At 36.1% G+C, this 24,561-nt stretch overlaps 1 long non-coding RNA gene across 1 annotated transcript in view; it reads left to right on the forward strand.

The window, feature by feature from the left end:
* LOC101927960 (uncharacterized) overlaps positions 1-24,561 on the forward strand; it is a 282,946-nt gene that overhangs the window by 166,969 nt on the left and 91,416 nt on the right. The window lies entirely within an intron of this gene.

Below are 24,561 nucleotides of genomic sequence, written 5' to 3' on the forward strand. Positions count from 1 at the left end.
AATTCTCTATAAACACCATTTCTTTGCAACATATACTGTTTCACTGTGAAGATATGTCATAACTAATCACTTACTACTGAGCATTTAGACTGCTCCCAAATTTCACCATTATAAATATCACTGAAATGCATATTTATATGCATAAAGAAGTCTTTCTCAGTTCATTTAATCAAAGCACTGTCTACAGGCATAAAGACTCCTCATACACATTGCCAAAGTACTTTTCAGTATTATTCTCCCACTGGTAAATGGATAAGATGTATATTTCACCAAACCCTCTTTGGCATTTATTGTCACTTTAAAAATGTTTTCTGATAGAAAGGGAGAGGAAATTAATATGTTTTGCTTAATCTCCATTTCTTTGACAATTAACGAGGTTGAACCAACAGATATTTTTAATGTGCCCTCAAAACTGTCATTCTACTTACCTAATTGTGCAATTGTGCAACTTCATTTTAGATAGGTGTTTGAGATTGTTCTTTTCTTCTAAAATAGCAATTGATGAAGACAAAGCTCAACTTATTCTAATGATTTATTAATATCTAGTAGGACAATTTATAATTGAAGAAGAAAGTTGAGGGCACACAGAGCAGCCATAAAGCTGATGAAAAGATTATACCAGTTAGGTTGTATTTCATGGGCCGTCTCTTCTGTCTTATCTCACTATGGAAGAGCTTTGGTAGTTAAGAAGGCTTCATAATCCAGTTAGAAACAATATAAATATTTTTTGCTAATAGTACAAAATGAAATACCTGAAGTAAGAGGTAGAGGAATAAACAGATACTTTAGTCACAATTAAGGGAATAAGTATTGGAGGAAATGAGAAACAAGATAGAAGCCAGAGATAAAGGGGCTTTAAAAAAAATAAAAATAAATAAACTGGAATGGAATGGAGTGTAAAAATTGGAAAGAGTGAAAGTTTTTTTTTTAAGTGTGATACAATTTAAAAACATCTTTGAGTGTGTACTTTTTGCTCTGGGAGGTATTAAGAAAATAGCGTGTTAGAGGTTCGAATCTCAGAAAACCTACAATATGTATCATACAGGAAATATTTTGATGCAAGTAAATGAAAACCGACTCAAACTGGATTAAAAAATAAGAAAATTTGTTCTCTCATGTGATTGCAAAGCCTATAGGACATGTATGCTTCAGGGTGGTTTGACACAGTGGTTCAGCAAAGCCAACAACCTGTGAACTGTTTTTGGTTTTGTTTTTTGTTTTCTCTTCACTTCACCATTTGTCGTGTCAGATTCATCGTAAGGTTGCCTTCTTTCCAGGATCAGCTTCTGTTTCTGCCAATAGCTCCCAGAAGTGCTTGAATAGAGACTTGAGTTTCACCTTTATGGAGGAACTTTGGTTCATATGTCCATCTGTAAACCAATGACTCTGGCAAAGGTGATGGGAATGTATTACTTGTCTAGACCAATTAGGGCTCACATCTGAAGTTCTTGAGTAAGAACAATCCCAGCTAGATATCATGGTTGTTCCACAATGAGGGAGGGTGTGCTTTTAAAGAAAAATCTGGATGCTATCAAAGAAGAGGAAGGGAGGATTAACTCAGGCTGGGTTAGCAACTAAGAAATGTCCACCATACAAATCTGGTTGAGAGCAGTAGTCAAGTATGCACAAAACTCCAACATAAGGGAGAATGTAGTAAATGCTATCAAATAAAAAAATATGTATAGAAGGGGTGCACATTTAAATGAGGCTGTTTGAGCTTGAATTTCTTTCTTTATATAGAATTCCAGTCCAAAATGCCATTGCTTGAATTTCATCAAAGAAAGCTCCTATGCCCTTTGTGTGATTTACTTACTGTTTCACCATTGTTAAAAGACAATTTTCAAAAGAGAGTAAAATCATGACTCTACAGATATAAAAACAAACACAAGTTAAAGATTGTATTTAACTTATTAATGAGGAAACCACTGAGGTGTTACAATCAGTTCAAAGAAAAAATCCAAAGAGCAGAAACTTACTATTTAGAGTAAAGGAATGTTGACATGAATGTGCAAAGGCAGGCAAAACTAGATTAGGAAGTCAGTTGGACCTCTACCTGAAGGTGAAATTTGCATGTCTATAGACAATAATTATTTTCTATTGCTATCAGTTATTGACAGCTTACAAGAGTTGCAAAATAGCACCCATAGACTCATAGCCAGATAAAAGAGAAAGGTGAGCTATAGACAATGCATAGTTTTCTGCTGAAACATAGTTTTCTTACACTATATTATGACTAACTACATCTCACATATCCAAGTTAAACAAACAAAAATATCTATCACCTTCTTGAAAGGATGGGGAGTACACTCAATAGGCCTTTTCCCCCCCATTATGGATGAAAATTCTAATGTAAATATTATAGCATGAGGTTTTTAATTTTTTTCAACAGAAGACACATTCCTTTATTTTCATGACATAATAATAAATGATACTATTTTGATTTCATTTTAAAAGTCAATTTTCTATCCTTTTGCTGATTCCTTTTACTTCAGAACTTGCAGCAAATAGTTTAGCATTAGTTCTTCTGTGCATCTTATTAGTTTATTAGTTATACATCCAAGTGAAGGGCAGAGTGGTATATACCACTTAAAAGGCATTTGGAACAGAATTTAAAAGGCAACAAGACAACACAGGGGCCAGAATTAATGAGAACAATCATTACTAGCACAATTACCAGAGTATTTTTTTGAAAATTAAATACAAAAAAAAGGAAAGTAACAAATATATTTATAATAAAAGTTTAAAGAAATCCCCACAAGCTTAGCGCTAAATCAATGGAATGTAACGAATAAATCACTTCTGTATAGAGGTCATTAGGTTTGTCTGTAGCTTTGAAATAAAAGTGTTGAATTGAAGCAAAAGAAATAGAGTCCAAACAGATTTCAGAAATGTTAGCTAACTGTACTGCAGAAAGATGGTTATTAGAGACCTTAAGGAGGTTCTGTCTCTAGAGGAGCCCTGTGGGTGAAATTCCATTCCACCCACTCCATCCTTCTTCATACTTGTCTACAAAGAAGTTCCCAGATTATTTGCTAGTACTAGAGAGAGACTCAACCAGAGTAGGTGTCGTTTTCTATGCTCCCATCTCCATGACGTATGGAGAAGAAAAAGAACAGAAATGTGTTGTATTTCTCATGAATGGGGGAAAAAACAGGGCTCTTTAATTGAACAAATAAAATTGAACAAATAAAATTTAATTGAACAAATAAAATTAATTGAACAAATGAAATAATTCTCTTCCAAAAAGAACGCTGCTCTTTAAAATCTTCCTTTGCTGAAGAAATAAGTGTAAATACTTCTATTCCATTTTTCAAGGCATAAAACATACCCCAAAGAATTCAAATTTAAAGAGAAATGTCAGAAAGGGCCTGAATGCCTGTTTGAACCTAGACCCAGTAACTTAGGCAACCCAAACACAGCTCACAGCTAAAGAGGATTCTGAACAGACACTCTAATTACAGTATTTTATCTTTTTCCAGACATAGATTTTTTTTTCTTGTGAATGTTAATATTTCCTTCTAAATTAAGCTTTTGTGTCCTCCCAACTACAATTTCAGTTCAAGTGGAATCTCTGTTGTACTTTGTTCCTAACTAATACCAAGAAAGTCTGGGGAAATGGGAAGAGGACCAGCTCTCAGTTCCCTCTGTGAGCCACTATCAAAGAAATTTCCCTAAAGTGCCAGCTGACACTGTGGGAAAGCAGAAGTAAGCTTATGTCTACAATTATGTGAGCTTCCCCCTAACCCCCATTTGTTTCTGTAAAAATTTCAAACTGATTGGAAAGCCACCACAAAATATACTTTTACATTGATACAGTTGATGTTCCAAACTTCTTTCTTGTGGCAAATATGTTGCAGATGCTTCTGTGCCAAACTCAATTCAATTATTCTGCAGGGAGCCAAAGACTAAAGAGTGGATGAGCCCACAAGGTCTTTGTTGTTCATTTGCCTCCTGAATTGGAAACAGCTGCTACCTTGACTTAAGCACAGAATAAATCAACGTATATTACCTAGAGTTGCTCTTTACATTTTAACAGAGACAAGTACTTTTGCACCTGTAATTCCTTTCAGCTCACATTTTTAAAGTACATTATTACTAAAGTAGTAAAATAAGTAAAAGAGAAGGATGATTAAGTATGTTACATATTTTTTCAATACAAAAATTTATTTTATTTTTTGACTTGCTTGAATAAATGTTTTAGTGATATTCTTTATGTTTTTATAAACATTTTCATGTTTGATGGTGAGCCTAAACAGGAGATATAATTTTTCCAAAACAATGAATGAACATCAACAAGCATTAGTTATTTCAAAAATTATAAATGTTGTGCCTTAATTAGATAAAATTTTTCTCAATTAGTTTATGATTATAACATTTGGCTTACCAGAAGGGAGAATAAATTAATTATGTTAGGCCAATATACTCGAAGTTTTCACAAAAGTCAAGCTAAACAAATGTTTTTATTTATTTTCAATTTAATTAAGAGAAATCCTTATGTTTCACTTTTGGCAGATTATCATTGGATCAAGAAGCAAGTGAATAATTAATTTGAATTATTCTTTCTATTTATTTAATAAAGTAAGTAAGGTTTACTTATCTAATCACTATTAGGAATGAAGCCCAATCTTCTGTCCTAAAATCTATATTCTCCCATGGGAAGTCTTCTCTGAAATAAAAGTATTTCTTCTAACCAATACTATTGCAAGATTAACTAATTTTATTTCTATTTTTCTTCTTTCTTCCTCTCTCTCTCTCTCTGCATCTCTCATATACACAGGCACACACACACACACACACACACACACCTCAATTATATATTTAAATTTTTACAAAGTTGAAATAATTTCTTATTTTAGAGCACTATATATAGCTTATAAGAAACCTGGTAGCCTCTAGGATTTATCTCTGATAACAGTGTTATATTTGTTTTGGTATTTAGTGTAGTTGGGGAATGAGATATTTGATTAATCAAATATTCTTGTTTGTAGAAAGTGAACACAGACTATATAGAAAATGAAGCCTGTCAACACCAAAGTTTGTCTTCTCAAATTGTCTCTCTTCTCCAAAATTGCTTTTCCAGGGCCCTAGACTCAGGAACTTGCACTTAACTTTGATTTTTCTTTTACTTTTACTTTTGCTTCCAGTCTGCCAGTATGTCATGACTCTTTATCTGTAATATCTCTTGGATTAAACTTTCTTCCTTATCTCACTACAATAATCCCTTCACACCTGAAATAATTTATCTATAAAATTATAGTAAAAGTAGCTTCCCTACTTGTTCTCCTCCGGTATTCTGTTGCAATCTCCTTCTCCCTGTCAAATAAAATAAAATTCTTGGCACTGCTTTGAGGATTGTACACTTATCTGGCCTTATTGTTCTTATGTGGGTTTGTGACTGAGATACCCTTCTGACATCTCAGGGTCTTATGCTAGGGTGATTATGATTCCAGGTGCATGGATGTAGCAATGAGAATAACTTTATGCAAAGAGGCTTTTTATTTTAACAGAAATAGAATCAATAAGATGTGACCTGTGTGGACAAAAGGATAGATGCAGACATGATGCTGCCCAGAGGAGGTAGCAGTGAGAGATGATGCTGTGATCTTAGGGAAGTTACTAAACCCTCCTGGGTTGCTGGAGAATTAGATGGAATAATGCAGTAAAACACTGAGAACCATGCCTGTTGCATAGGATGCACTAGTAGTGGTTATTTAACATTTGTATCCACTTTTACTGATGAAGGAAATGAAGCACAGAGATATGCACATTTGGATTGTCTTAATTTCTCTTTCCCACAACATTAGAGATCCCCTGACACTTAAGTTCCCTTTTTGGCTGATTTTTATATAAAATACAGTGTCTATACCTCTCATAATGCTGTTGGCAGAGTTTGCTTCTTGAAATTATGCTCCAGTTGATGCAGAACAAAGCTGTATGCATGTCTGTAAAATCTGATCAACTCCTCTGTATTTTGGGAGATATGAATATAAGCTCTAAATATAGGATAATTATACAAAATCAAGTTGTTTATTTGGCCAAAGTAACCAGTATCCATGTTAACAGTGGAAGAACATAATTTATATTCATAAAACATCCTTTAAGCTGCTAAAATATTTCATTTGTGGATAATATTATTTAGTGTTAAGTTTGAGCAAGAGGTGAAAGTATATTCAATCTCATATATAAAGTATTCTGTTGTTACTTCAAGGCTTTGTTTTGTAATACTAACAACTGAAATTTGTTTGTAATATTAACAATTTGAAATTAAGTGCACGAAAAGGAGACACTGTTCTCTCTACCAAATGGTATAGAAAAGAATACAAATGTGCTGTCAATATTGGAAGTGAGGAGGCAGATGCTAAGTAACAAGTTATTGAACATACTTTCCCTGAAGAAGAATAATTCATCTATGCAGAAAACGACCTTGGAAAGCAGTTTTAAACAGAATGAGAACCACAACTTCATTTGCTAAAAATAACACATGAATCTTTCTTCAAATATTTTCTTTCTATTATGAAGTCTACATCTTGAAGTAATGTAAAATAAAATAAAGCTTTTCATGTGTGTTGTTTTGATGTCGTAAAGCTTTGTACATCTATATACTAATTGCAGATTGGGAAAATAAACCCCTGAGAAAATGTCTCAATGGAGACCTTGGGAAAGATTTCATAACTTACTCAAGGTAGAGCAAGGATAAAACACCCAACTTTTACTCAGGTGCATTTTCTAATACTTTGAACTGCATTTATGTATGTATGTATGTATGTATGTACAGGCATAACTTGGAGATATTGCAGGTTTTGTTCTAGACCACGGCAATAAAGCAAATATCACAATCAAGTGAGTCACATAAAATTTTTGGTTTTCCAGTGCATGTAACTATACCAAACTTTACACCATACTAAAGCCTATTATGTGTGTAAAGGTATTATATCTAAAAATAATGTATATACTTTATTTTAATGCTAATAATCCTCTGAGCCCTCAGCAAGTCCTGATCTTTTTGCTGGTGGAGAGTCTTGCCTTGATGTTGATGGCTGCTGACTAATCCGGGTGGTGGTTGCTGAAGCTTAGGGCGGCAATTTTTAAAAAGAAGACAGCAGTGAAGTTTGCCACATTGACAGCCTCTTCCTTTTATGAAAGATTTCTCTGTAACATGCAATGCTGTTTTATATAATTTTATCCTCAGCAGAATTTCTTTCAAAATTGGAGTCAATCCTTTCAAACTCTGCTGCTTCCTTATCAACCAAACTTAAGTAATATTCTAAATACTTTGTTGTCATTTCAGCAATATTCAAAGCATCTTCACAAGGAGTAGATTCCATCTCAAGAAACCACTTTCTTTGCTCATTCATAAGAAGTAACTCATCCATTCAAGTTCAATCATGAGGTTGCAGCAATTCAGTCATCTTTAGGCTCTACTTTTAATTCTAGTTCTTTTGCTATTTCCACCACATCTGCAGTTACTTCCTCCACTGACATCATGAACCCCTCAAAGTCATCTATGAGAGTTGGAATAAACTTCTTCCAAATTCCTGTTAATATTGCTATTTTGACCTCCTCCCATGAACTACAGTTGTTAATAATATTTAGAATAGTGAATTCTTTCTAAAAGTTCTTAAATTTACTATGCCCAGATCCATTGTAAGAATCACTGTCTATGGCAACTATAGCTTTACAAAACGTATTTCTTAAGTAACAAGACTTGAAAGTTAAAATTACTCCTTGATCCATAGGCTGCAGAATCACTGTTGTATTAGCAGGCATGAAAACAGCATTCATCTTCCTGTGCATCTCTATCGGAACTCTTGGGTGGCCAGGTGCATTGTCAATAAGCAGCAGCATTTTGTAAGGAATCTTTTCTTTTTATTCTTCTTCTTCTTCTTCTTTTTTTTTTCCTGAGGAGTAGATCTCAAGAGTGGGCTTAAATCATTCACTAAACCGTGATGTAAACAGATGTGCTGTCATCCAGGCTTTGTTGTCTCATTTATAAAGCACAGGCAGAATAGAGTTAGCATCATTCTTAATGGCCCTACCATTTTCTTTTTTTTCTTTTTGAGATGGAATCTCGCACTGTTGCCCAGGCTGGAGTGCAGTGGCGTGATCTTGGCTCACTGCAGCCTCTACCTCCCAGGTTCAAGCAACTGTCCTTCCTCAGCCTCCCAAGTACCTGGGACTACAGGCGCACACCACCATGCCCAGCTATTTTTTTTTGTATTTTTAGTAGAGATGGGATTTCACTATGTTGGCCAGGCTGGTCTCTAACTCCTTACCTCAAGTGATCCACCCACCCCAGCCTCCCAAAGTGCTGGGATTACAGGCATGAGACCATGACTGGCTGGCCCTACCATTTTTGTAATGGTAAACGTGCATTGACTTGAACTTCTAGTCAGCTACTGCATTAGTCCCTAACAAGAGAGTAAGCCTGTTGTTTGAAGCATTGAAGCTAGGCGTTGATTTCTTCTCCCTAGCTATGAAAGTCCTAGATTGCATCTTCTTCCAACATCAGACTGTTTTATCTTCATTGAAAATCTGTTATGTAGCCACCTTCATCCATTATCTTAGATCTTCTGGATAACTTGCAGTTTCTCCATCAGCACTTGCTGCTTCACCTTGCACTTTATGCTTTGGAGACAGCTTCTTTCCTTAAACCTCATGAACCAGCTTCTGCTAGCTTCAAACTTACCTTCTGCAGCTTCCTTACCTCTCAAAGCTTTCATAGAATTGAAGAGAGTTAGGGGTTTGCTCTGCATTAGGCTTTGGCTTAAGGGAATGTTGCGGCTGGTTTGATCTCCTATCCAGACCACTAAAACTTTCTCCATATCAGCAATAAGGCTGTTTCACTAGTGAAAAAAAAAAGTTTTTACTTTGCATTCATGACTTAGATAACTGTTTGGTGAAAGAGGCCTAGCTTTCGGCCTATTTTGGCTTTTGACATGCCTTTCTCATTAAGTTTAATAATTTTTAGCTCCTGACTTAAACTGAGAGATGTGGGATTCTTACTTTCACTTGAACACTTAGAGGCCATTGTAGGGTTATTAATTAGCCTGATTTCAATATTGTTTTTCTCAGGGAATAGAGAGGCCTAAAGAGAGAGAGAGAGCAATGGGGAATGGCTAGTTGGTACAATAGTCTGACCAAACACAACACTTAACTAGGTTTGCAATCTTATATGGGCACAGTTCATGGCACCCTCAAAACAATTATAATAGTAACATCTAAGATCACTGATAACATATCACCGTAACAGATATAATAATGATGAAAATGTTTTAAATATTGCAATTACCAAAATGTGACACAGAGACGCAAAGTGAGCACATGTTGTTGCACAAATGGCAGTATAGGCTTGCTTGATCCAGCACTGCCATTAACCTTCAAGTTGGAAAAAGCACAGCATCTGTGAAAGGCAATAAAGCAAAGCACAATAAAATGAGGTGTGCCTGTATTTTTATTATGGTAGGAATACTTGACATGAGATATTCTGTCATAAATTTTTAAAGTGTACCATACACTATTGCTGACTATAGGTACAAGCAGATCTCTAGAGCTTATTCATCTTAAGTAAAACTTTATGCATGTTTATTTATAATATTCCATTTTCCCCTATCCCCAGCCCCTGATAAACACTATTCTGCTCTTGGATTCTATGAATTTATCCATTTTAGATAGCTGACAAGTGAAATCATGCAATATTTTTCTTTCTGTGACTGGCTTATATTCACTTAGTAATGATGTCCTCAAAGTTCATTCATATTACAAATGGTAGAATTTCCTTGTTTTTATGGCTGGATAATATTCCATTTTATGTATATACCAAATTTTCTTTATCTACTCATCATTTGATAGACATTTAGGTTGTTTCCACATCTTGGCTGTTACAAATACTGCAGCATTGAATATGGGAGTGCTAATGTGTCTTCAAGATCCTGTTTTCACTTATTTTGGATGTCTCATTGTAATTTTTATCTGCATTCCTCTGGTAACTAGTCATATTGAGCAATTTTTCATAAGCATGTTGTCAATTTGCACTTTTTTTGGAAAAATATCTCTCCCAGTCTTCAGCCCATTTTAAAATCAGGCTATTAGGTTTTCACCCACCCCTTACCATTGAGTTATAGGAGTTCCTTATATATTTTAAATATTTATTTCTTAACAAATAGATGGTTTGCAAAGATTTTCTTTCATACCATAGGTTGCTTTTTCATTATGTTAGTTGTTTCCTTTACTGCACAAAAGAGTTTTAGTTTGATAATAGACTTCCTTGATGCACAGTTCCCAAAAACCTTCAATTTGTAAAAAAAAATGAAATAAGGTGAAGCACAATAAAATGAAGTATGACTTTACTCATTGAGACCTCACAATGAATTTTAATATTTGGAGTCTCTTTTCCCTTCTTATCAATTTTCTACTTCTTTACACTTCCTAATCAGAATTTTACTAAATATTCTCATTTGATTGTTCAAATCAAATTGATTGTTGATGGTGAGATTTTTATTTTTCTTTGAACAAAAAAGCACCCCTGACAGGGTCAAACTCATTATTATAGTTAATGGAAATAAAATAATGTTACAGATCAGTTTGACTATATGCTGCATAAAAATATTGTTTTTCTATTCAAGAAAAACATATATCCTTTTATTTACTAAAATATTTGTTTAATTATTGTATTAGTCCATTCTCACACTGCTAATAAAGACATACCCAAGACTGGGTAATTTATAAAGGAAAGAGGTTTAATTGACTCACAGATCAGCATGGCTGGGGAGGCCTCAGGAAATTTACAATCATTGTGGAAGGGGAAGCAAACACACCCCTCTTCACATGGCGACAGCAAAGAGAGGTGCTGAGCAAAAGGGAAAAGCCCCTTATGAAACAATCAGATCTCACGAGGACTCACTCACGATCACAAGAACAGCAGCATGGAGGTAACTGCCCCCATGATTCAATTACCTCCCACTGGGTCCTTCCCATGACATGTGGGGATTATGGGACCTACGATTCAAGATGAGATTTGGGTGGGAACACAGCCAAACCATATCAATTACCTTCATCAAACTTTGTGTATATTTTGTACTTTTTAAAGGTTTTATTACCAAGAATTTTTATGTTATGTTGCTATAGAAATTTAATGGAATATTTTCTTCAGCAACTGTAACACAACTTGTGTTAAAGAAAACTATTAATATTTATGCATTATTTTTGTAATTAAGAGATATGAAATATTTTATTATTTCTAATCTTTTCATGTTATTATATTTAACTTCCTAGGTAGGCAAACAATTCACAATTATGTTAAATTTAAAAATTTCTTAATAAATGAACCATATATGTATTCCTGGAATTAATTTACTTTTATGATTTTATATTCTATATTCTAATTTTAATATATTATGGAGGGCCATCTCTCAATATTTTATGCATATTTGTTATATCCACATTCATACATATGATTGACTTCCAGGGTTTTATGTTTGTGCTGTCTTCTGACTTGGGTGTCTGTGTTATTCTGGCTTAGTAAAATATTGGAACGTTTCCTTTTCTTTCTACTACCTAAAATGTTTAAAAGTATGAGTGTAACTTGTTCCCACACTATGAAGGTTTGGAAAAGTTTAGAAAGCTTTGGAAAAGTTTACCTTTGAAATAATTTGTAGCTTTAGATTTTTTTGTTTTTGGTAGGGAAAGTTTAGCCAACTCTAGTCATTTTCTTGATTTCTACCAGTATTGATTCTTAGAAATCATTTCCATTATCCAAATGGTGATATTAATTTGCATTGCAATTTGCAAGTTACTTTTATTAATTGTTTTAATATTCTTGATGTATGTGCTTATTTCCCTTTTCTCATTTTTGATTTTGTATATTTGTGCTTTCACTCTTTTTACTTCCTGAGGCTGGCTGAAGCTCATACATTTTTTTTTCTTTCTTTTTTTTCAGAAACAAGATATTGGCTTTACATGTCAGTTCCAGTTCTTTTTTATTTCAGAATTATTTATTTTTATATATCCTTAATAGTTTGCCTTCACTTTCCATAGATTTATTTTATTCTTAAGATTTTGAGATGAATAGTTAGTTCATATATTTTCACTCATATATCAATCAAGGGCTTAAGATCATCAATTAGTTTTAAGTGTATGTTCTAGGCATTCTGAACATTGTTTTCTTTATTATTTAACCAAATTTTCAGAGATTATTTTCAAACTCCAACTTGTTTCTAGTGTTTCTTAAAATATTCTGATCATATTATTGCATTGGTATATGAGAATGCAATTTGTCATAATTCTGCCTTTTGAATTCAATTACTTTTTTTCTCCTTTGACCTAGTATATAATCATTTTTTCTAAATGCTGCATGGATCCTTCAAAGGATCCATTCTTTGTGTGTAGGTTATATTAGCCAGAAAAATCATATTATTCAGGTTTTCTACATCCTTTATATAAATCTTTTCCTACTTTATCTGCCACAGATTAATAAAGGAGACATAGTCTCCTACTATTTCTGAGATTTATTTTGACATTACTATGACACTTTTTTCTTTTATCCACTAGTATCTCTGACTGGTACATTGTGATTGTGAATTGCTCTTTTTTTATCATCTTCAATTACTTTGTTTTTCACTCATTTAACTTTTCTTATTAAATACTTTTTGTTAAAGTTGAGTTCAAACTTACCTGACATTCTCATGATGATTTGGGCTTTATTTTCATTAGTGTGTACCTGGCATATTTTGTACTTTTTTTAAAGTTTCATCTTTCTAAGTCTTTAAATGCAGCACTTGTATGCAGTAAGTAGTTAAGTTTTACCTTTTGACTCAATCCTTTTAAAATACCTGTATTTGCTTTTCTTTCATTGTGTCTACATTCTCACCTCTCATCTCAATCTGTTATCTAATTATCTGTGATCTATTTTTTCCTAGCTTTAATATTCTGTCTAATTTTCTCCAAATGATGCCATTTATGGCAACTTTCCCTCCTTAATGCATAGTGTATTGGTTCTTTTAGAGTGTATTCTGCATTTGTCTTTTTGTGTTGTATTTCTATCATTTCCTCCTCTATATTCAGCTGGGGTTGCACACAATCATATTTGACAGGTTTGGCTTCTTCTATGTTTTCTTCCATAATTTCGTTTAAAGCTACTTAACAGGGTTTATTTTTTCTGCTCTAGAATCTGTCCTATTCTCATGAGGTTGATAGCAGATTTTCAATTGGCTCTGAATTTTGTGTGGACCTTTACTTCATGAAAAAAAACAATAAGCATTCAGTGTTTATTCTCCCTTTATCACACACTTCACCAGCTTCCTGGAAGTCATCTTCACCTTTGCTCCCTGGTGCATGAGAGAAAATCTAGACCTAACTTATGTCCTGTGTCCACAGCATTAGTAATCCACATTGAAAGGAGGCAGAGGGAGAACATCACAGTTTCTCTCTTATGCCTTTCTTCCCAGTCTAACTGTCCTTATAGTTGGTTATTTCTTTATCTATCCTGATAATCACAGTAACTCTCTATTGTTGGAGACCATTAGCTCTGTGTCATTATTTTCTCTTACCTCTTAGAGGCAGGTACTAATAAGACGGCGAGTGCTAGGAGACTTTCCTGCCCTTGGTGAAACTCTTCTAATTCATGGTGTTTGAAAGGCTTTCCCCAAGGTTGCTCACACATTCCCTTCAGTCCACTTACTGCATCTGGGGATTCTCATGCCATTTTTTCCATTAATTACTTCCTTTTACTTTTATTGTAGGATGGGCATTTTATTCCCTTTGCTTTTTCCTTCCTTATACCTAGAACTTGGATGTAAGGGCTGTAGGAATAACAACCATACTGAGACCAATCAAAAGAATTGCAGACTCTGGCCATGATATTTTTGAGACACTGAGTCAATGCCTGCAAATAGAATTCCCTTCTATGGAATCTTGTTAGGCATGAAGAGAAATTCCAGAATTCCATGTGCTTCTCAGGACTACCACTTTTCTCTTCTACTTTCCATCAGCAGGGGTACAGAGGAGTTTAGGGTTGGTGGAAAGAGACTTGAAAGCTGCTGTTAAGTTCACTTCTTATTCCTGATTACTAACTTCAAGTGAGTCTTTAGTACCCAGGAATCAGACTGTAATATCCTTATCTACTCAGTCTCCTTCTACTCGAAGTGATTATTTTACACTTTCTCCTCTGTTCTCATTCTGCCAGCCCTGCAATTCCATCTCAGATGATGAATTAATTTTCTATCTTCCTGAGGAAATGGAAGCAAGTGGAAGATAACTTCCATAGGCTCTCACCATCACATCTATGCACCTGCACCTATACACAGATACTCTGCCCTTTGGCCTATTATAATAAATGAATTTAAATAATAATTCAATTCATCCTGCTAAGAACTGACCCTCCTTAAAGTTTCCCACCTCTACTAGTCATTTCTTTTTTTTTAAATTTTATTATTATTATACTTTAAGTTTTAGGGTACATGTGCACAACGTGCAGGTTAGTTACATATGTATACATGTGCCATGTTGGTGTGCTGCACCCATTAACTCGTCATTTAGCATTAGGTATATCGCCTAATGCTATCCCTCCCCCTTCCCCCCATCCCACAACAGTCCCCGGTGTGTGATGTTCCCCTTCCTGTGTCCATGTGTTCTCATTGTTCAATTCCCACCTATGAATGAGAACATGCGGTGTTTGGTTTTTTGTCCTTGCGATAGTTTGCTGAGAATGATGGTTTCCAGTTTCATCCATGTCCCTACAAAGGACATGAACTCATCATTTTTTATGGCTGCATAGTATTCCTCTACCAGTCATTTCTGAGAATCCTTGTGGGGACCCTGGTTTTCTGCGTTTCTCAGCCATTGGAACCAGGCACCTCCATGGTTTCATCATGCTGGCCCTCATTCCATTGGACTGGTGGGTTACATTCTGTCAGTGGGCTAACTCCAGCATGGCTGCCAGCAATACAATATCTAAGAGAGTTTTTAATGAACATCTGTTTCCTTCTCATTCACAGCATCTTGGCTCTCCACTGCATTTAGACATAGGTCCCTGGGTTCACATGAGACAACTCCTAGAGCCATAGCCAGGCATGACTTTTATAACTGAGTCTCCCCTCTGACAAATAACATAGTCTTCTTCTTGGACAAGCTACTTTCTACCATATGGATTCTAAGAAAACTCCTCAGGCCTCCCTACAAATGCATCATTGTCTAGCATCCTTTACCAACTGACTCAGCAAACTCAGATATATATGAATCAAACTCAAGCTGCTCAAATTTTATTTCACTCTCCTACACTTGTAAAGAAGATAAAATTTTTTTCAGGTAACTTTTCTATTTTTAAATAAAATGATTGCTTTGGGGCCCATAAGTGGATATACTGTTCACACAGTAACCTTACTGCCACTTTTTTTTCTACCCCAAATACATGGAATCATGTTGACGTTTGATTACTGTTTTCTTGTTAGGATAGTACCAGCACCAAATAAAAGGCAAAGTAAACAGTTTACTTCTGAGTCCAGAAAAGGGAAAGACAATCAGCAGAGACCACTTTCTCGAATGAGCAGATTTTCTTCTCTTTTTAACTCCAGTCTACACTCCCACCTCTCCTCAGAAATTCCTCCTTCAGTATGGGGTGATTTTATGCACCTAGGCTGCTGATTCAGCTTGATCAGTCCTCATATAGAAAATGTGAACAGAATAGAAATCTTATCACCACATTTCAGTTACAAACCATTTTCTTCTCACCTACTCCTCTTTCTCCTTCTAATAAGCATATTCAGTCATAGCCTTCCTGAAAGTGGTTTTTATTAATTGGATCCCCAGAGGCTGCTGAAGAAATGGAGTGGGAAGAGAGTTCTGTCTGCTTAACGTTGCCGTTTAGTGCCACGTGGTTTGGTGAAGTTTTCTCAATTGAATAGCGTGCAGGACCAGATGCTGGTTTATATAACTAGCTGAGAGCACCCTTCCATTTTAAGGAAAAGTAGTCAGGGGAAGGAATGGGGAAGCAGAGAAGATAAACTTGAGCAATTATAAAGGCTTCTTTCACAACCTTGATAAGACAATTTGTGTAGGTATCATCTATTTTTTTTTCTGTTATATTCTTTCCAACAAAAAAAGTTGTCTGCTTTCTTTTCCTACGATTCAGATGGGAATTGTTTTCAACTTTAAAACATCTAGTTCTCTATAGATACGGCTTGTATAAAAGCTAGATCAGTATTTTCTAAGTTGTAATTATTTGGGGGTTAAAAGTGTAACTGGGTTCCTTGAGATTTCAGCACACTAGCATTTTTAGTGGCTGAATTAATGAAAATTCTGATTAGGCACTTGCTTGCTTGTGGAAAAGCCAACATCCCTTGTTCCCACAATATTACAAACTGCTGAGGTACTGTTTCTATGTCAAACAGGAGAAGTTAATTTGAAGGTCATGAAAAAATTTTGCAGAAGGAATGAATGCCTTTAAGTTATTGAGACCACCTGTTGACACCCAGAAGTCTGCTTGTTCAAGGTGTTATCTGAGACTGAAGAAACACAGGCTCTTTCCCTTGGTTCCCTGAAACTCCTCCTTCCTTACTCGCTAACCCTAAATTAAAAAAAAAAAAACCCACATCTTTTTGTTGTTGTTGTTGTTAAGATAGATTTGAGAGATCTTATTCTCTTGATTTCTTGCTTTGGCCAAACTGAATAAGCCTTTCTCTACCTCCAAGCACTTGTGTGTCCATGTTTGGCATCAACTGTGCATTCAGCACACAAGCCTGAATTGGAGGTTCTATAACAGAAGTAGAATGTTGCATAATCCTTGACTTATGTTATTCTTGTTATCTATTATCTATCTATCTATCTATCTATCTATCTATCTATCTACCTATCTATCCATCTTTCCAACTCTTATTTTGGATTCAGGGGATACAGTTACATGGGTAAATTGTGTATTGTGCGGTTTAGTGTAAAAATTATTTCATCACCCAGGTAATAAGCATGGTACCCGATAGTTAGTTTTTCGACCCTCACCCTTCTCCTACCCTCCAGTCTCAAGTAGGCCTCAGTGTCTATTGTTTGCCTCCTTGTGTCCATATGTACTCAGTGTTTAACTCCCACTTATAAGTGAGAGCATATGGTATTTGTTTTCTGTTCCTGTATTAATTTTCTTAGAATAATGGCATCCAGTTCCATCCATATTGCTGCAAATGACATAATTTCCTTCCTTTCTGTGGCTGTTTAGTAGTCCACAGTGTATATGTACCATATTTTCTTTATTCAGTCCACCATTGGTGGACATTCATGTTAATTCCATGTCTTTGCTATTGTGAATAGTGCTAAAATGAACATACGAATACATGTGTCTTTATGGTAGAACGATTTATATTCTTTTAGGTAATAAACCCAGTAATGGAACTGAGGGATCAAATGGTAGTTCTGTTTTAAGTTCTTAGAGAAATCTTCAAACTGCTTTCCGTGGCAGTTAAATTAATCTACATTTCCACTGGTAGTATATAAGCATTCCCTTTTCTCTTCAATCTCGTCAGCATCTGTTATAGTCTGACTTTTTAATAATAGCCATTCTGACTGGTGTGAGGTGATATCTCATTGTGGTTTTGATTTACATTTCTCTAATGATTAGTGATGTTGAGCATTTTTTTCATATGCTTTTGGCCACATGTATGTCTTCTTTTGAGAAGTGCCTGTTCATGTCCTTTGCCTGTGTTTAAATGGGGTTGTTTTCTACTCCTTAATATGTTTAAGTTGTTTCTAGATTCTGGGTATTAGACTTTCATAGGACGCATAGTTTGCAAATATTTTCTCTCATTCTGTTGGTTGTCTCTTTACTTTGTTGATTGTTTTGCTGTGCAGAAGCTCTTTAATTAAGTCCCATTTTTCAGTTTTTGTTTTTGTTGCGATTGCTTTTGTTGTCTTTGTCGTGAAATCTTTGCCAGGGCCTATGTCCAAAATGGTATTTCTTAGGTTTTCTTCTAAGATTTCTAAAGCTTTAGGTTTTATATTTATGTCTTTAATCTATTCTGAGTTGATTTTTGGATATGGCGAAAGGCAGGAGTCTAGTCTTAATCTTTTTGCATGTAGCTACCCATTTATCCTAGCACCATTTATTGAATGGGGAGTCCTTTCCCCATTGCTTATTTTTGTAGACTTTGTTAAAGTTATAGGTGTGCAGCTTTATTTCCGGGTTCTCTAACCTGCTTCTAACCAATGTATATGGGTCTGTCTATGTACCAGTAATTCTGTTTTTGTTACTTTTGCCTCATAGTATAGTTTAAAGTTAGGTAGTATGATGCTTCTGGTTTTGTTCTTTCTGCTTAGGATTGCTTCAGCTATTTGGCCTTTTTTTAGGTCTATATGAAATTTAGAATAGTTTTCTCTAATTCTGTGAAAAAATGATGATTAGTAGTTTGACAGGAATAGCATTGAATCTGTCCGTTGCTTTGGGCAGTATGGGCATTTTAATAATATTGATTCTCCCTGTCCATGAGCATTTGTGTCATCTCTGTTCTCTTTCTGCAGTGCTTTGTAATTCTCACGGTGGAGATCATTTTAGCTGTATTCCTAGATATTTTATTTTTGTATCTATTGTGAATGGGATTGCATTCTTGATCTAGCACTCAGCTTGGATGTTGTTGATGAATAGAAATGCTACGATTTTTGTGTATTAATTTTGTATCCTGTACTTTTCTGAAGTTGTTCATCAGATATAGGAGCTTTTGGGCAGAGACTATGAGGTTTTCTAGGTATAAAATTATATCATCTGTGAAGAGAGACAGTTTGACATCCTCTGTTCCTGTTTAGGTGTCTTTTATTTCCTTCTCTTGTCTGATTGCTCTGGCTAGGACTTCCAGTACTATGTTGAATAGGAATGGTGAGAGTGGGCATCCTTGTCTTGTTCTGGGTCTCATGGGGAAACTTCCAGCTTTTGCCCATTCAGTGTGATGTTGGCTGTGGGTTTGTCATAGATGACTCAATATTTTGATGTATATTCCTTCAATGTCTAAATTGTTGAGGATTTTTAACCTGAAGCGATGTTGAGTTTTATCAAAATCCCTTTCTTCATCTATTGAGATATGCATGTGGTTTTTGTTTTTAGTTTTGTTTATGTGATGAATCATATTTGTTGATTTATGTGTATTAAAACAACCTTGTGTCTAGGAATAAAGCCTAATTGATCATGGTGGATTAGCTTTTTGATGTGCTACTGGATTCAGTTTGCTGATATTTTGTTGATGATTTTTGCATCTATGCTTATCAGAGATATTAGTTAGTTAGAAGTTGTGTGTGTGTGTGTGTGTGTGTGTGTGTGTGTGTGTGTGTGTGTGTGTTTCTGCCTGCCAGATTTTGGAATCAGGGTAATGCTGGCCTCATGGAATGAGTTAGTGGGGAGTCCATCTTCCTCAATATTTTTTGCAGTCGTTTCAGTAGGAATGGGACCAGTTCTTTATGCATCTTAGAGAATTTGGGTGTGAACCCTTCTGATCCAGGGATTTTTATTACTGATTCAATTTTGGAACTTGTTATCGGTCTGTTCAAGGTTTCAGCTTCTTCCTGATTCAATCTTGGGTGGTTGTATGTTTCCAGGAATTCATCCATTTTTTAAATTTTTTTTTAGCTTTTTTAGTTTGTGTGCATAGAGGTGTTCATAACAGTATCTGAAGGCTTTTTTGTATTATTGTGGAGTCAGTGGTAATGTCTTCTTTGTCATTTCTGATTGGATTTATTTGGATCTACTCTCATTTTTTCTTTATTAGTCTAGCTAGGCATCTATCAATCTTATTTATTCTTTCAAAGAAAACTTTGGTTTTGTTGATCTTTAGTATCATTTTTTACATCACAATATCATTTAGTCAGCTCTGATCTTGGTTATTTCTTGTATTCTTCTAGCTTTGGGGTTGGTTTGCTCTTGTTTTTCTAGTTCCTCTAGAAAACAGGTACGATGTTAGGTTGTTAATTTGAGATCTTTCTAACTTGATATGGGCATTTGATGCTGTAAACTTTTCTCTAACACTACTTTAGCTATGTCCCACAGATTCTGGTATGTTGTATCTTTGTTTTCTTTAGTGTAAAGGAATTTCTTGATTTCTGCCTTAATTTTATCATTTACCAAAAAGTTATTCAGAAGGTTGTTTAATTGTATGGTTTTGAGATATCTTGGTATTTATTTTTATTTTTATTTTGCTATTGTCCCAGTGTATGGTTGGTATGATTTCAAGTCTTTTGAATTTGTGTAGAATTATTTTTCAGCCAAGCATGTGGTCAATTTTAGAGTACGTGCCATGGTCAGATGAGAAGACTGCATATTCTGTTGTTATTGGATGAAGCGTTCTGTAGCTGTCTGTTAGGTCTGTTTGGTCAAGTGTCAAGTTGAGGTCTTGAATATCTTTGTTAGTTTTTTACCTTAAAATATTTGAGTAATTCTGTCAATGGAGTCTTGAAGTCTCCCACTATTATTGTTTAGGTATCTAAGTCTCTTTGTAGGTAGGTATTTAAGAACTTATGAATTTGGGTGCTCCAATGTTGGGTGCAGATATTTTTAGGAGAGTTAAGTCTTCTTGTTGAATTAAACCCTGTATCATTATGTATTACCCTTCTTTGTCCTTTTTTATTATTGTTGATTTAAAATCTGTTTTATCTGAAATTAGAATAGCAACCTCTGCTTTTTAAAAATTTCTGCTGTTAGCCTAATGGGGTTCTTTTTGTAGATGACCTGCCCCTTCTCTCTAGCTGCCTTTAATATTTTCTCTTTCATGTTGACTTTGGAGAATCTGATAGCTAAGTGTCTTGGGAATGGTTGTCTTATATAGCATCTCACAGGGGTTCTCTGTGTTTCCCAGGTTTGAATGTCTACCTTTCTAGCAAGGTTGGGAAAATTTCCCTGGACAATATTCTCAAATATGTTTTCTGAGTTGCTTGTGCTCTCTCCCTCTCTTTCAGAGACACCATTGAGTTGTAGGTTTGGAGTCTTTACATAATCTCATATTTCTTATAGGTTTTGTTTATTCTTTTTAATTCTCTTTTCTTTGTTATCTTCTGAGTGGTCTTTGAGCTCAGAGTCTGTTCTCAGCTTGGTCGATTCTGCTGTTAATACTTCAGATTGTATTAACAAATTCTTGTAGTAAGTTTTTCAGCTTTATCGGATCAGTATGGTTCTTTCTTAAAATGGTGATTTTTATCTTCCAGCTCATATCATTTTATTGGATTTCTTAAATTCCTTGGATTGGTCTTCAACATTCTTCTGAATCTTGATGATCTTCATTGCTATTGAGATTCTGAATTTTATGTCTGTCATTTCAGCCATTTCAGCCTGGTTAAGAACCATTGCTGGGAGCTAGAGTGATCATTTGGAGGAAAAAAGACACTCTTGATTTTTGAGTTGTCAGAATTCTTGCACTGTTTCTTTCTCATCTGGTGGGCTGATGTTTCTTTAATCTTTGAAGCTGCTGCCTTTTCAATGGATTTTTTTTTTTTTTGCTTTTATTTTCCTTGATGCCCTTGAGAGTTTGACTGTTATGTAAGTTGGGTTTAGCCAACTGTCTTCAAATCCAGATGACTTCAAGAAGCCCAGGATTAGCTTGGCACTCCTGAGCTGTAGGCTCCAACCCTGGGGGTCTGGTATGAGGCTCACAGCTTTGTTGTCTGGCCTCTCAAAATTAAGCACCTGCTTCACTGGAGGGGCCTAGGTGTTTCTGGTCTGCTGGCGACAACACTCTGATGATGCATAGTGCCAGCAAAAATGCTTCATTACAGTGGTGGCAGTGGGGTCTGCCCTTGCCAAAGCAGCAACAGGGTTGTGTGTGCCCATGTATGCTGGTGACAGATGGGTGGCAGGGAACATGTGACCTCACACTAGTGGTAGTGATAATGGTGCTGTCCATGTAGACTTGTGGTGGCTGGGTCTGGGTGTATGCACTTGTGCCAGTGAGGCCAGGTGTCTGCATGCACACACTTGCACCAGTAACAACATGATGGCAATGTTCACACACATGTGTCCTGGTGGTGGCAGGGGCAGGGTGGTGGTGGTGAGTTCTGTTTATGCATGTGGCTGTGGAAACAGGGCAGTGAGGTCCATACATGCATGTGTGCCAGTGGAGTGATGGGAGGAAGTTGAAGATGGTTGTATGTTGGCAAAGGCCAGTTTACTGAAGCTCTGTGACAATAGGCAGGGTCTATTGTCTGTGACAATAGGCAAAGGAGCTATGATGGCAGCCAGTAGGAAGCACCTTGGTTGGGCATACAAAGCTATGCTGCAAGTGGCATGGCCAGGCAGGGACCGCGGGAGAGGACAGCAGGCAGGTGGGTGCTCAGATCAGACTGGCCATGTTCCATGGGCAAAACTGCCTTGCTCTGTCCAGGTCCAACAGTCAACAAAGACCAAATCCACCTAGAAGATCATGGTAAGCCTTGGAGAGCAGGCATCCCTGGCAGTGCTCCACTTCTGCCATTCCTGTGCCAAACACTCTGGGCTCTGGAGAGGCTGCCTCCTCTCCAAGCAGCTCTCCCTATCAGTTCACATGTCCTTGGGCGTCGTGGGGTTTCCTGCAGCTAGGAGTTTAGAGGTCCATGGTGAGAGTTGGTCACTCCTTGCCTATTAAATTACCCCTTCCCCAGGAGCCCTGGAGGCCAGGAATGAGTCCTGGTGCTTAGCAGCCCCATGCAGCATTCCTAGTGTCCTCCTGACCCTGTCCCATTCAGCCCAGGATCAGTGTCCTTCCTCTCTTTATTCTCAAGGCCTTTATTACAGAGATCTGCTGGGAGTTTGCTGAGCCCCTTGATGGTCTGGTCTCTTGGTAGCAGATGTTCTTTTTGGCTGCATCTAGTCAGCCATCTTGGCTGGTCAATGGTGTCACCTTCACACAATGTGATCTGCTTCCAGGACTGCAGAAAATTGAGAAAAATCTCTTACGATTATCCAAAGACTGGATAATCTTGAGGATATGTTGATGGTTCACCAGATTGCTGAAGAGAAGGAGGAAGTGGGTGGAGTGCAGCATAGTGGGGTGATGGTGGGGATGGGTGGGTGCAAGTAATAGTCTGACAAAAGGGAATTAACCTCATCACCAGCCTGGACACTGGCTCCAGTGACAACTGGACTTATGTTATTCTTAGGTGGAATGATGAACCTTTCTTACATGCTTCTGTATGTGGCATGTATTCTGGTTTTTATTTCTACAAGGGATTTTACTCAGAGACAGGAAGGGAAAGATGTGATTTTCTTTTTTATTCCCCAGTGGAAAGAAAAGGTTATCCTAGGTATTTGGATTCTTTAATCAAGTATTTCCGTTTGAAGAAAATATGTTGTCCGTTTATATTTTAAGTAAATAGGTCATTATCAACCTCGCACAAACATATGGGAAACGCATCTATTTTATTTTATTTTTTAATAATTTCAACTTCTATTTTAGATTAAGGAGTACATGTGGAGGTTGGTTATATGGGAATACTGTGTGATGCTGAATTTTGGGGTATGAATGATCCTGTCACCCAGGTAGTAAGCTTAGTACTCGATAGTTAGTTTTAAGCCTTTGCCCTCCTCTTTACCTCTGCCATCTAGTAGTTCCCAGTGTCTGTTGTTGCCACTTTAATGTTCATGAGTACCTAATATTTAGCTATCATTTATAAGTAAGAACATACAATATTTGGTTTTCTGTTCCTGCATTAATTTACTTAGGATAATATCCTCCAGATCTACCCATGTTGCTGCAAAAGACATAATTTCATATTTTTTATGGCTGCAAAGTGTTCCATAGTGTATATGTACCAGATTTTGTTTATCCAGTCTACCATTTATGGGCACGTAGGTTGATTCCATACTGTATTAGTCCGTTATCATGCTGCTAATAAGGACATATCTGAGATTGGGTAATTTATAAAGAAAAACAGGTTTAATGGATTCACAGTTCCATGTGGTTAGGGAGGCCTCACAATCATGACGGAAGGTGAAAGCCACATCTTACGTGGTGGTAGACAAGAGAGAATGAAAGCCAAATAAAAAGGGAAACCTCTTATAAAATCATCAGATCTTGTGAAACTTATTCACTACCACGAGAACAGTATGGGAAAAACCACCCCTGTGATTCAATTATCTCCCACTGGGTCCTTCCCACAACACATGGGAATTATGGGAGCTACAATTCAAGATGAGGTTCGGTGAGGGCACAGCCAAACCATATCACATGACTTTGCTATTGTGAATAGCGTGGTGATGAACATATGAGTGCATGTATCTTTTTGGTACACTTATCTATTTTCCTTTGGCTATATACCCATTAAGGGAATTGCTGGGTCAAATGGTACCTCCATTTTGAGTTCTCTAAGAAATCTCCATAGTGCTTTCTACAGTGGCTGAACTAATTTACATTCTCACCAACAGTGTATAAGTTTTCCCTTTTTTCCACAGCCTTGCCAGCATCTGCTGATTTTGATTTTTTAATAGTACCCATTGTGACTGTTACGAGATGGTATCTTATTGTGGTTTTGCCTTGTATTTCTCTGATAATTAGTGATGATAACATTTTTTCATATTTTTGTTGGCTGCTTGTATGTCTTCTTTTTAGAAGTGTGCATTCACGTTCTTTGCCCATTTTT

Source organism: Homo sapiens, chromosome 2 (assembly GCF_000001405.40).
Source record: "Homo sapiens chromosome 2, GRCh38.p14 Primary Assembly".
In the NCBI taxonomy this organism is placed as follows: Eukaryota; Metazoa; Chordata; class Mammalia; order Primates; family Hominidae; genus Homo; species Homo sapiens.